General features: G+C 38.0%; 1 protein-coding gene across 5 annotated transcripts in view, besides 1 other annotated feature; it reads left to right on the top strand.

Annotated features, from left to right (window-relative positions):
• ZNF280D (zinc finger protein 280D) overlaps positions 1–14,469 on the top strand; it is a 103,334-nt gene that overhangs the window by 296 nt on the left and 88,569 nt on the right. The gene's annotated exons all lie outside the window — the stretch shown is intronic.
• Positions 13,607–13,766: an enhancer, noted in NCBI's record as "active region_9456". NCBI's record gives its function as "activates an Ori minimal core promoter by ATAC-STARR-seq in GM12878 lymphoblastoid cells {active_cell/tissue: GM12878}" and the evidence as "EXISTENCE:reporter gene assay evidence [ECO:0000049][PMID:35858748]".

Genomic DNA, 14,469 nt, shown 5'->3' with positions numbered 1-14,469 from the left:
AGGCCTGGGCCGCGCAGGCCTTCGCCTTCTGCTCCTCCGCCACCTCCTCTCCCAGGCGTGTGCGCCTGTTTGTCCCCAGCCTGGTTTTGGCTTTTCTCTCTGGAGGCAACTCCCTTTGGTACATTTTGTGCCGATGTTTGGCCAAGACCCATGGTCCTCACACCACAGCCCACCCCCGTGTCTCTTCAGTCGTAGGAAAGGAGACCAAAGGGGATTCGGGATTTGCAGGCACAGGGCCCCTCATTTTGCCCAGATGACCGGTCGTTCCACGTTTGCACCCTCATTTTTGTCAAAGAGACCTCCCCTCCTCTGCCATAGAATTCCCGTTATTGTCTACAGAAGAAGGGCCCTGAGGAGAAACGTGGAGTTGGAGACAAAATTTTCTGAGCTTTGCAAGGTTCACTTACTGAGACGGAAAGAATGATCTCACTCTGAGGTTTTAGCCTGCTCCAGCGATGGAAGGAATTCCTCCCAACTTATCGCAAGTTTTAACGCTTTTAAGGAGAAATCTGCTGGAGAGGAAAAACGTCAAGGTGAACCCGCTTCTGCAAGCACGGGAGACCTTTGGCCAAAGGCCTTTGTTTGCGAAGATTTGTTAAAAAAAAAAAAATCTGTCATCTTAAATATTTGGCTTTATTTTCAGGTTTGGACAGAATTTGTCTTTTTTAGTGCCATGAAACATAAAATGGAACGCTAGAAGGACAGTTTTAAAGCACAAAAGCTGCCTCTTAGCATCTGTAAGGTGTCCTGCTTTGGGGGACTGCTGTGCCAACTCCAGCTGTCTCCACGCAGAAACTTAACCAGGGAAGGCACTGGTTTGCTTATACCATTGTTAGGGCTGTGTGCCTCTGATGTTTTAACATCACTACAAATACTGTTGTAATTGTGTCTTGCTTTTGTGCCTTTCATTGATAACCCCTGATTTGTATCTCTTAGCCCCTTTTGAAGTGGTCTGGGTTGCTGGAATCATTTTGCAGGCGAGGAAACAGAGCCTCAGGGAGAGGACTTTAATGAGGTCACTGACTAGGAAGAGCCAAGGCCAATTATATTAATAGAACCTTAGGTCTTCTGACTCCTTCTCCGGTGCTCAACTCTAGTATATACCATTTTTGTGGGAATGAGGTAGATGAGAATAGGCAAGGAGGCTCACTTAAAGATTTTAAGAAACATTACTCAGTTGCCCTTTCGTTGATATTTTTATACTTTACTTTTGAAATGCGGTTGTTATGTTGCCCAGGCTGGTCTCAGACTCCTGGGCTCAAGCTGACCTCTCACCTCAGCCTCCGTAGCTGGGATTACAGGTGTGCACCATCTAGCCTGGCTTTTATATTTTTATTCTCGAGTTAATTTCTTAACTTTGCAACTTGCTATTTTTTTCGAAAATATTGGAAAGTTAAATAGCCCATTTGAACACTTAGTTTTAACGCTACCTTTTTGCCATATTTGCATTTTTCCACTTATCTCACATTCTGTTTTCTGAACGTTTCAAAGTGCATTACGGATATGACAGTTCAGCCCTAAATGCTGTATGTGTGTCAGTATGTATTTTGTAAGAGATCAAGGCCATTTTTCTGTGTAACAATACCGCAATCACACTTAAGAAAGTGAAGAATATTCCTTAAAATCTAACGTGGTGTAGTATATATTCACATTTCCCCCCATTTCTTCAAAATTCCTTTTCAGTCTTTTTTTTTTTTTTTTTTTTTTGAGATAGGTACTTGCTCTGTGTCCCAGGATGGAGCGCTGTGGAGCAGTCTTGGCTCGCTGCATCCTTGACCTCCTTCCTGGGCTCAAGCCATCCTCCCACCTCGGCCTCCTGAGTAGCTGGGAACCCAGGAGCACGCCACCACACTCAGCTAATTTTTGTATTTTTTGTAGAGATGGGGTTTTGCCGTGTTACCTAGGCTGGTGTCAAACTCCTGGGTTCAAGTGATCCACCTGCCTCGGCCTCCCAAAGTGCTGGGATTACAGATGTGAGCCACAGCACTGGGCGAAATTGACCTTTTGAAGAGACCTGGTCTGTAGTCTTTCAGAATAACCCATATTCCATGTTTTAGTGATAGTTCCTCCTGATAGTGTTTAAATTTGTTCCCCCTATCCTCTCTGTTTTCTCTAAACTTGGATTTGGGTCTAAAGGCTTGAATATATTTAGGTTTAATATTTTTTTGACAGGAATACTTCATAAGCCATGCAGTATGCTTCATTGCATACAACATCCAAAGGCACATAAAGTAGGCTTGTCTTATTAATAATCCTAAATTTGATCTCTTAGATAAGGTGGTGACAAGCTATCTTTCCATTGTAAGCATTTCCTTCTGCAATTAGCAAGTCATTTGTGGTGTGATATTTTGGCATTAGTAGTTGGTAGGAATTTACCTGCAGTAATCTGATAAACACAGTTGGGAGCAGTCGTTTAGGTATGGCTTTGGAAGTTAGGAAGAAGAAGAAGTGGAGACAATTCTGGAGGAAATACTAACCCATCTACTTTAGGGAACTTGGAATGCTTCTATGTGTTGGCATCAGAGCCTAGGGAGACTAGGAGAGAGGAGGCAGAAAGTAGATGTCAGAAAGCTTTGCCTTCTTTGAAAGTTTGCTTAGGACCATTTTAGCCATAGTAAGCTATGGTAAATAGAAAAGTTCTGAAGTAGTTTGATGTTGGAGGATTGCAAGTGCTTCAACTGGAACATCTGTCCAGTTAGGCTACTAATCCAGTCCTTTTTCATTCCAGTGTTCTATTAATCAGCATTGGCTCACTGAAATAGCAGTTTTCACAAATGAAAAGTCAACTGTAGTTTTAGGTGACAGGAAATTGGATATTTCTATTGACAACATACTTTGTTATTCCAAAAGCAAGTTTTGGAAGATGAGGAATACTTACGACATATTCACTAATTAAATATATAAATCCTGAATAGTTTTTTTCTTGCTTTAGAAAGGAATTAAAAACTTTGAATTTTCAGATTGCTTTAAATAGTGATTTAAATAATGACTTGATTTAATCAGTGCCTTATATCAAAAATTGTATGTTTAGAATTTTGATTTATTTCTCCAGAGCAATTTTAAGGATTCTCTTAACCCTCAGTATACGAGGAAAAGTGTACAATTATCACTATCATCTGGGTCAAAAGGGACTGGTTTTTTTTGCATTTTACGTTATTATGTATAATTTATAGGAGTAAAAATAAAGCATAATGTAAAACAACTTATTGGAGCTTTTAATAAGAATTTCAATACAGCAGATATCTTTGTATGTACTTAGAAAAATAAAAAATAAAAAATCTATTTCATGCATTTAATTACATAACACTCCTACAACAAATATACATCACATTTGAACGCTTTGCATAAACATTCTCATTGTAACACACATTTTTTTCTTTTTGAGTTTCTGTATCTGTACAAAGAACATCTTTCTTTCTTCCCATTTTCAGATCTGTGCAGAAATCATTGTGGTTAGAGGGTAAGACAACATTCCCTTCCTATTTTCTGCAAGTTATTTTCCTAGTTGCATGAGGAATTTCTTCTTGGTAACTTCCAGTTTTGTAACTGAAGCTTTTCCCGTACAATGAAAGTATACTCTGAACTAATATCAGTCATAAGCCATCTTCAAATCATTCTCTTCCAAGTATTGTTTCTGACCCACTTTTTGAATGTGTCACTTCTGTAGTCTTTTTGTAATACAGATCACTTCAGATTAATTTATGCAAGGATTTTAAAATTCATTGATGGTTGAGAATGCACTGAGCTGAGAAGAGTAGGTATAGTTTTCCTTAGGACAATAAGAATCATGAATTATATTCGAAATCCAGATTTTGTGCAGTTGACTTCTTTTGCTTTTCCATTTGTGAAAATTCACAGAAGTTCAATGCTGTTCTTCCTAACAGTGCCAACTAAGGAGAGTTTGATGCTGTGTGATATTCAGCCAAGTCTAAATTTGTAAAAAATTTGTCACAAGTTATATGTCTGACAGAATTTTGAAATTTTTCTGTCATTTCGTATATATCAATCTTGATTCTACTTTCATGCCTTTTCCCAATCTCTGTGTAGATCTGCATTGTCCAAGCTTATCATATTTCATTGTCACCTGTTGCTCAGATTTTCATTTCATGTTTTTCACCTTTTGAAGGTATTTCTACCTGAAATGGGCAACATCATCTGAATGGAATTAACTATAGATGCTCCTTGAATTACGATAGGTTACATCCTTGATAAACCCGTCATTAGTTGAAAGTATCATGAGTTGAAAATGCATTTAATACACCTAACATACTGAACATCGTAGCTTGGCTTAGCCTACCTCAAATATGCACAGAACATTTATATTAGTCTACAGTTGGGCAACATCATCTAACTCAAAGCTTATTTTTTAATAATAAAGTGTTGAGTATCTCATGTAATTTATTGAGTACTGTACTGAAAGTGAAAAACAGAATGGTTGTATGAGTACTGGAAGTAATGAATGCACTTTCACACCATTATAAAGTTGAAAATTGTTGTAAGTTGAACCATCTTAAGTTGGAGACTGTCTGTACTTAGCAACTTTCATACAAGACCCTGGAACTATTTGTCTTATAAATACTGATTCTAAATTTCAAATGCTTCCCTGATAGGTTCTTGCTTGTCATTCCTTCTGGGTTGTCTTTTTGCATGTACATCATCAAAATGCAATACTGGAAGAATTTTTGAAACCTTTGATGGTTCATAATTTTGTTGAAGACAGGACGGCCATCTTCTTTGCTCCACAATTGCAAGATTTTTCAATTTCAGATTTATGAGCAACTAACTAGAATGATCAATCCAATGAATTTTTTAAAATGTCTATATTTTCTATTTCCTTCCAGTCACCTTTGCATACCCCTGCATTCAATACTTGGGCACTTAAGCGTTGTATCAAGGCCGGGTGTGGTGGCTTATGCCTGTAATCCCAGCACTTTGGGAGGCCAAGGCAGGATTGCTTGAGCCTAGGAGTTTGAGACTAGCCTGGGCAACATAAGAAGACCTTGTCTCTACAAAAAATAAAAAATTAGCCGGGTGTAGTGGCATGTGCCTGTGGTCCCAGGTACTTGGGAGGCTGAGGTGGGAGGATCGCTTCAGGTCTGGGTTGCAGTGAGCTGCAATTGTGTCACTGCACTCCAGCCTGGGTGACAGAGTGAGACCCTGTCTCTTAAAAAAAAAAAAATGTATTAAGTAAAATTTTAGCACACACTTGTAAAGGATGAAAGACTGTCACATTTTCTTTGAGCAGAACAGCATGGTCCATATTCTTAATGTAAAAATATTGTGTGATGAAGTTCTTCCCACTGGATGAGAATGCCGTATTTCCTTTTTGTTTTTAGAAATACGTTATTCTCTCATTGATTAAGTTTGAGGGAATTTATCTAAAGTAACTCATCCAAGGACTCAGTCTGAGATTTCCCTTATAAAGTCATTTTCACTACCATCATTAAGAGTCTAAAGTGCTGCTGTCTATCTTTGTGTTAATCTTCTGGTTCGTCTAATAGTTGTGAAATGCCTTCCTCTGTTAATTTTCTTCTCTTCCATTTTGGGCAGAAAATGAAGTCTGAGTTCTTAATTGTATTCAGTGAAAACTAGAAACAGATGAAGGGGATCAGAATCTGCCACTTACGCATGAGGATTATTTTGAGTTGAAGGCAATTGAGAGTCAGTAGATGCTGGAAGAGTTCTGTGCCCTCCCCTTATTTGCCTAGTAGTAGCAGGGCATTAATTTCTATCTTTTTTCTTTTTTTTCTTTTTGAGACCGTGTCTTGCTCTTGTTGTCCAGGCTGGAATGCAATGGCGTGATCTCAGCTCACTGCAGCCTCCACTTCCCGGGTTCAAGTGATTCTCCTGCCTCAGCCTCCCGAGTAGCTGGAACTACAGGCGTGCGCCACCATGCCTGACTAATTTTGTATTTTTAGTAGAGACGGGGTTTTGCCATGTTGGCCAGGCTGGTCTCGAACTCCTGACCTCAGGTGACCCACCTCCCAAAGTGCTGGGATTACAGGCATGAGCCACCACGCCCAGCCAGTTTCCTTCTTATAACAGGGAGGGAAGAGCAACTCTTTTCCCTTGAGATTGAGAGTCAAGGCAGAGATGAGTTTGTATAAACAAATTTTACTAAAATAACCGTTATTTTCCATTAGTTCTCCCATTTTTTCTAGTCACTTTCCCATGGTTTATTGTCCCTGAAATTCCAAGTTCCCTTTTTTGGGGGGGTTAAAATAGTATAAAAGCCTCTACGTCTAACCACTTGTTTGAGTTTCACTTCTTTTCTGTGAACTCCTGTGCATGTCAATATTAATAAAAATTGTATGCTTCTTCTCTTGTGAATCTGTCTTTTCATAGTTTAATTCACAGGCCATGAGATACTGAACCAAAGGTGATAGAGGAATTGTTTTCCCTCTCTGACATAGACTACAAAAATGTCTTCAGTTTTCCATATGTCTTTGAAAATTGATGCAATATTTTTGCAAAACTATAAGAAAACTGGAAAATAAATGAGAACAATTAAGGCTAATGCATTAGTCATGATTTATTTCACTGTTGTATTATTCTTTTAGGCAGTCCTATTATTTTTTTAGCATAGTTGGGATTAATTGATGAACAATGGTGAAATAATACCTAGAATGATGGAGTTAGCAAAATATTTCAAGATGTAGGAAAAATAAAGCCACTAACATCCCATAATGTATTTTAGATTGATAAAAGGATTCTGTTATAGACCCACATAATAATTATAAGATATAATGAGTTTTAATCTATTTTAAAGTAGTAAGTAAATTTTCCCTTCTTTGTTTAAAGATCTCTAGGAAACAATGTGAATAATGTCAGTCTTTCTAAAAAGAACTGCTCAAGAAAGAAAGTAAAAAACTAGTTTCCTTTGGACTCTGATAGTATACTGGACTTTAATGGTTAATTTGGACAGTTAGAGTTCCACCCCTCTCCAATACACACATTAAACCTACCTGCCTCTTCTACTTCCATAATAGGTTTTTTTTTTTAGCCTGTTGTACTTTAATACATCTCTAATGAATACAGGCAGTACCTAGAAAGTTGTTCCTTGAGGTTTCTGTTCTAAAGTTTTTTTGTTGTTACCAGTTTTTTTTTCTTAAACCTTTCTTCCAAGCTTTACCTTCAGAGACCCTTCATAATAAAAAATTATTAATTGGAACCCTGGCACATCAGGCCAACGTTGTATTTAGGCTTTTTGCTTAAATGGATTACACCAAAAAATATTTCAGTCATTTTCATTGCAAACATTCCTGTTTTTCTGGTTTTATATAACAGGATGAAGACAAAGTAATTTTTGGGATGATGTATGCCTTGTTTCTTTGTGTTTGTAAACACAATGCCTTACACATAATTAATGTTCGATAAATACTTAGTTTTTTTTTTTAATCACCTGAATATTCCCCAACAGTTTAAAATTATTGCTTTACTTTTTGGATTGGTATGTAACTTACAAATTTTTGACCAGCTAGCATAGTAATTTAGCTTTCTTTTTTAAAAAGGGCTTTGACTTGTGTTTATCTAGTACAGTAGTTCTCTAAATGTGGTCTTGGGCTTGAGACTCTTTGAAGGATTCTACTAGGTCCTCCCTTTACCACATACTTTTCCTGTGAAGCTGTATTTTCTTCAACAGAAGAGTGTAGTGCAACAGGTTGAATGCAGAAGGTCGTAAGAGAATCCAGCTGTCTTTATTAAGACAATGAGGTATGCAAAAATGTAGCAAAAATGTAAAACAATACCACTCTTTAAATTTTTTGTTTTGAGAAATACACTTTTTTTGTAAAAATATATTAATATGTGCTGCTTTCATTATTATCATCTTTAAGTAAATGAATACATATTGAAAAAAATTTCTCAGGTTTGGGGTTTCTGGACTCCCAGGCAAAGATTCCATCCTTAAAGTTTAGTCAACCACACATCTTTTTTTGATCAGGTTTGGGATTTTTTTTTTTAACATTATTAACTGAATGCCTTTGAGTTGATACGCATTTTGACTAGGGCTAGTAACCAAAGCAAAGATGATCAGTCTATGAACTAATTTGCCCTTTGCTTCTAGGCTTCACTCCTGTGCGTTCCTTATTTTGTGGGTTACCTTTGGCAAATCTAAGAAGCTAAGCCTGGAGGGGCTTGAGAGAGGCCTGGGGGTTTTAGGTATAATCCTAATCTCTGTCGTATCTCTTGCTTTTTTTACTTGCTCTGCTTTTCCTATTCAAGGTTTAAGATTATCTGACTCTCAGCTATACAGGATTGCTGACTGCTGCTAGAAAGGCCTTCATAACCAAAATGCAACATGGAAATAGCTTTCTTACATTCCATGAGAAAAAAAATAGATCTGACAACGTTATTGAATAGAAAAAGGTAAATAAGAAAATTGGCACTACTTCAGTGACACTACATTGTAGTGTCTGTTCATTTGAGAAGTTATACACAACAGATGTCTTTCTATTCTTTGATTTCTTTTATTGTAGTGTTTTAGAGATTATAAAGTATGTTCACAGTTACCGTATTCCATCATCAGAACAAATACTTCTTTGCAAAAGGCGGTGTTATCATCCTTTACAGATGAGGAAATCAAGTCTTAGAAAAAGTTCATTTTATTCATTGGAATAACACTGGGTGCCAGATATTGTGTATTCATTTTATAAGATACGATGCCTTGGTTTTCCCTCACTTCACCGTCAGCCTTTTTATCTCAGAATTACATGTTCTCTTCTATTTGGGCTATACAATGCAGGTGAGCCTTACAGGCAGGCAGTGACAACAACTGTTAGAAGTGTTGCCTCCTTAGAGCATTTGACCTGTTCTGCACCTCACTGCACCTGGAAGCTTTTAACACTAGGATAACCTAACCGAGCTCTGCTTAGGTTGGAAAGTTATTAAACAATTTGGAATTGGTAAATGACAGAATGAAAGCATTATTTTAGTAAATTGTTAATTTGGGGGCTCTTTATTGAAGAGATGAAAGCAAAAATCTGGATGCTGAGAGACCAAGTACAGACAGTCCCCAGCTTAAGATGGTTTAACTTAAGTTTTTTTGACTTTATGATGGTGTGACAGCAATATACATTTAGTAGAAACTGTACTTCAAGTTTTGAATTTTGATCTTTTTCCGGGCTAGTGATATGTGGTATGATACCATATTGTGATACTAGGCAGCAACAGCAAGTTGCAGCTACCAGTCAGCCACATGATCATGAGGGTAAACAACTGATAACATACAGTATACTGTGTTGTCAGATGATTTTGCCCAACCACAGGCTAATGTAAAGGGTTCTGAGCACGTTTAAGGTAAGTTAGACTAAGCTGTGATGTTCGGTAGGTTAGGTGTATTGAATGCATTTTCAACTTACGATATTTTCAGCTAATGATGGGTTTAATCATTACCCCATCACAAGCTGAAGAGCAACTATATAAAGTGAATCTTATAAAGTAAATCTATTTCACTTTAGGTGTGAGGTTCTATGGGCGTGGTCAAGTATTGAGTGGATGGAGAGGCAAGGATGGTGTGGGAAATATTTTGAAGGAAGTCTATAGGGTTGGGGAATTGACTAGATATAATTAAAAGAGGGAGACATTGAAAAAAACCTCCAGGGATTCAAGATCAGAAGGATGGCAGTTTAGTAGAAAAAGGGAAATGCAAAAGTAAAACTAACTTTTATAATTTAAGGTAAGATTCATATAATTTCACCATTTAAAAATATACGGTTCACTGGCATTTAGTACATTCATAGTGTTGTACAACTGTCAACACTAATTCCATAATATTTTCAGCTCCTCAAAAGGAAACCTGTTACCCATTATTCTGAATATTAGATATAAATAGAATCAAACTGTGTGACTGACTTCTTTCACTTTCAAAGTTTCATGTTGTAGCATGTATCAGTACTTCATTTTAAAAAATTGCTAAATAATGCTACATTGTATTGATACACCACATTTTTTTCACTTTGATTATTTATTTATTTATTTTTTTATTATTATACTTTAAGTTTTAGGGTACATGTGCACATTGTGCAGGTTAGTTACATACGTATACATGTGCCATGCTGGTGTGCTGCACCCACTAACTCGTCATCTAGCAGTAGGTGTATCTCCCAGTGCTATCCCTCCCCCCTCCCCCCACCCCACAATAGTCCCCAGAGTGTGATGTTCCCCTTCCTGTGTCCATGTGATCTCATTGTTCATTTCCCACCTATGAGTGAGAATATGCGGTGTTTGGTTTTCTGTTCTTGCGATAGTTTACTGAGAATGATGGTTTCCAATTTCATCCATGTCCCTACAAAGGACATGAACTCATCATTTTTTATGGCTGCATAGTATTCCATGGTGTATATGTGCCACATTTTCTTAATCCAGTCTATCATTGTTGGACATTTGGGTTGGTTCCAAGTCTTTGCTATTGTGAATAATGCCGCAATAAACAGACGTGTGCATGTGTCTTTATAGCAGCATGATTTATAGTCCTTTGGGTATATACCCAGTAATGGGATGGCTGGGTCAAATGGTATGTCTAGTTCTAGATCCTTGAGGAATCGCCACACTGACTTCCACAATGGTTGAACTAGTTTACAGCCCCACCAACAGTGTAAAAGTGTTCCTATTTCTCCACATCCTCTCCAGCACCTGTTGTTTCCTGACTTTTTAATGATTGCCATTCTTGATACACCACATTTTATTTATTAGTTGAACATTTGGGTTGTTCCTGCTTTTTTGGCTATTATGAATAATGCTGTAGACATAATTTTTCAGGGGAAGATATGGTCAGTTTTGGAAATATAGTCATACCTTGCTTTATTCTACTTCACTTGTTGTGGTTTGCAGATATTGCATTTTTACAAGTTGAAGGTTTGTGGCAACTTTGTTGAGCAAGTCTATCTCAGCCATTTTTCCAACAGCGTGAGCACTTCTTGTCTCTGTCACATTTTTGTAATTTTTGCAATATTTCAGACTTTAAATTATTATATTTGTTATGGTGATTTCTGATCAGTGATCTTTAATGTTACTATTGTAATTGTTTTGGGGCACTGCAAACTGCACTCATGTAAAATGGTAAACTTATATAATAATGTGTGTGTTTTGACTGCTCCACCAGCCAGCTCTTCCCTAGTTTCCTCTCCATGGGCTTCCTTATTCCCTGAGACATAGCAATATTGAAATTAGGCCAATTAATAACTTTATAATGGCCTGTAAGTGTTCAAGTATAAGGAAGATTTGCACATCTCTCACTTTAAATAAAAAGAACTAGAAATTATTAAGCTTAGTGAGGAAGGCGTGTTGAAAGCAGAGGTAGGCCAAATACTAGGCCTCTTGTCCCAAACAGTCAAGTTGTGATTGCGAAGGAAACATTCTTGAAGAAAGTTGAAAGTGCTACTCCACTGAACACATGAATGATAAGAAAGTGGAACAGCATTATCGCTAAGATGGAGGAAGTTGTAATGGTCTGGCTAGAAGATCAAACCCGCCACAACATTCCCTTAAGCCAAAGGCTCGAGGTCAAGACCCTACTCTCTTCAGATCTATGAAGGCTGTGAGAGTGAAGATGGTGCAGAAGAAAAGCTTGAAGCTAACAGAGATGAGTTCATGAGGTTTAAGGAGAGACACTGTCTCCATAACATAAAAGTATAAGATGAAGCAGCAGGTACTGATGCAGAAGTTTCAGCAAGTTATCCATGAGATCTACCTAAGATAATTTATGAGGGCGGCTACACTAAACAATAGATTTTCTATATAGATTAAATAGACTTCTATTTATTGGAAGAAGATACCATCTAGGACTTTCATAGCTAGAAAGGAGAAGTCATGCCTGGCTTTCAAATTTTGAAGGACAGGCTGACTCTCTGGTTAAGGGCTAATGAAGCTGGTGACTTTTAAGTTGAAGCCAGTACTCATTTACCATTGTGAAAATCCTAGGGCCCTTAAGAATTGTGCTAAATCTGCCAGATGTGGTGGCTCATGCCTGTAATCGCAACACTTTGGGAGGTGGAGATGGGTGGATCACTTGATGTCAGGAGCCAGGAGTTCGAGACCAGCCTGGCTAACATGGTGAAACCCCCGTCTCTACTAAAAATATAAAAATTAGCCAGGCGTGGTGGTGCATGCCTGTAGTCCCAGTTATTCGGGAGGCTGAGGCACAAGAATCACTTGAACCTGGGTGGCAGAAGTTGCAGTGAGTTTAGATGGTGCCACTGCACTCAAGGCTGGTCAATGGAGCGAGACTCTGTCCCCCCCCCCCCCAAAAAAAATGCTAAATCTACTCTGCCTATGCTTTAAAAATGGAACCACAAATCCTGGATGACAGCACATCTGGTTTACTGAACCAGATGTAAACGTGGTTTACAACATGAATTACAGAAAATTTAAGCCTGTTATTGAAACCTACTGCTCAGAAAAAAATTTTCCTTTCAAAATATTACTGCTCATTGATAGTGCATCTAGTCACCCAAGAGCTCTGATGGAAGTGTACAAGAAGATTAATGTTGTTTTCATGTTTGCTAACACAACATCCATTCTGCTGCCCATGGGTCAAGGAGTCATTTCAACTTTCAGTTCAAGTCTTAATATTTAAGAAATAACATTTTGTAAGGGTGTAACTGCTGTAGATTATGATTTCTCTGATGGATCTGGGTAAAGTGAATTGAAAACCTTCTGGAAAGGAGTCACCATTCTAGATCCAATTAAGATCATTTGTGATTGATGGAGGAGGTCAAAATATCAACATTAACAGAAGTTTGGAAGAAGTTGGTTCCAGCCCTCATGGATGACTTTGAGAGTTTCAAGGTTTCAGTGGAGGAAGTAACTGCAGATGTGATGGGAGTAGCAAGAGAGCCGGATTTAGAAGTGGAGCCTGAAGATGTGACTAAGTGCTGTAATCTCATTATAAAACTTGAATGAATGAGGAGTTGTTTCTTATGGATGAGTAGTTTTTTTGAGATGGAACCTATTCCTGGTGAAGATGCTGTAAACATTGTTGAAATGACAGCAAAGGATTTAGAGTATTACACCAGCTTAGTTGATAAAGCACCAGCAAGGATTGAGAGGATTGACTCCAACTTGGAAAGGAGTTCTACTGTGGATCAAATGCTATCAAACAGCATCGTATGCTACCAAGAAACCTTTTGTAAAAGGAAAAGTCGATGGATGTGCCAAGCTTCATTGTCTTATTTTAAGAAATTGCCACAGCCACCCCAACCTTCAGCCAGCCACTACCCTGATTAGTCAGCAGCCATCAACATGGAGGCAGGACCTTCCTCCAGCAAAAAGATTATGACTCACTGAAGGCCCAAATGAGCTTTATCTTTTTTTTTTTTTTTTTTTTTTTAGCAATAAAGTAGTTTTTATTAAGGTATATATGTTGTTTTTTAGAGACAATGCTATTGTACATTTAGACTACACTATAGTTGTAAACCTAACTTTTATATTCACTGAGAAACCAAACAATGCGTGTGACTTGCTTTATTGCAATATTCACTTTATTGTGGTGGTCTGGAACAGAGCCCTCAATATCTCCGAGGTGTGCATGTACTGAATTTGAGGTGCGTTTAAATATCTAGATAGTAGTTTTCAGTAGTAAAAGAGGAAGGACTGGGACTTAGATGAGATGTCAGGGTGTCTTTCTCTGTCTGTGTTCTTATAAATAAATACCTGAGTTTGGGCATTTTATAAAGAAAAAAGGTTTATTTGGCTCATGCTTCTGCAAGTATCGTGGTACCAGCATCTGCTTGGCTTCTGGTGAGGGCCTCAGGCTGCATCCACTCATGGCAGAAAACAAAAGGGAGTCTGTGTGGGTAGCGATTTATAAGGTGAAAGAGAGGAAGCGAAAGAGGAGGGAGGTGCCAGGCTTTTTTTTTGGTTTTTTGTTTTTTGTTTTTTTTTTTAAACAACCATTTCTTGTGGGAACTAATAGACTGAAAACTCACTCATTACCGTGAGGACAGCACCAAGCCATTGGTGAGGGATTTGTCTCTTCCACCCAAACACCTCTCATTACCCTACCTGCAACATTGGGGATCAAATTTCAACCTGAGGTTTGAGAGACAAACATTCAGACTGTAGCAGAGGTGAATATTTTCTGATCTTATAGGCTGCTGTTGAGAATTGATAGCTGAGACTATGGGATCTATTAGATCTGCTGTTAGGGAACAGTTTCTGTGGGACTGAGGTCTAAACTTTGTGGAAAACCTGTTTTTACATTATTTAAGGAGGAAGTGATCTGGAGAATCTCTAAAGAGTTAAAAAGGAGTAGGTGAGTACACAGGACTATTGGTGTATAGAAAATTACTGAGCATGATATTTCAAGAAATGGTGTTAAAATAGCTGCAAGATAAACAAGGAAAATGCAAATGAAGAAAAGGTAATTTGATTTGGCTATTGGGAGGGTTTTTGGGGTCTTGAGGTGGATACTTGCTTTTAGCAAAGCACTGTGGAGTAGATAATGCTGTAGCTGCCCTGCTGTGCTCAGCT

Source organism: Homo sapiens, chromosome 15 (assembly GCF_000001405.40).
Source record: "Homo sapiens chromosome 15, GRCh38.p14 Primary Assembly".
Lineage (NCBI taxonomy): Eukaryota > Metazoa > Chordata > Mammalia > Primates > Hominidae > Homo > Homo sapiens.
Note: the sequence above shows the minus strand (reverse complement) of the source record. Positions and strands in the feature narration are given on the sequence as shown.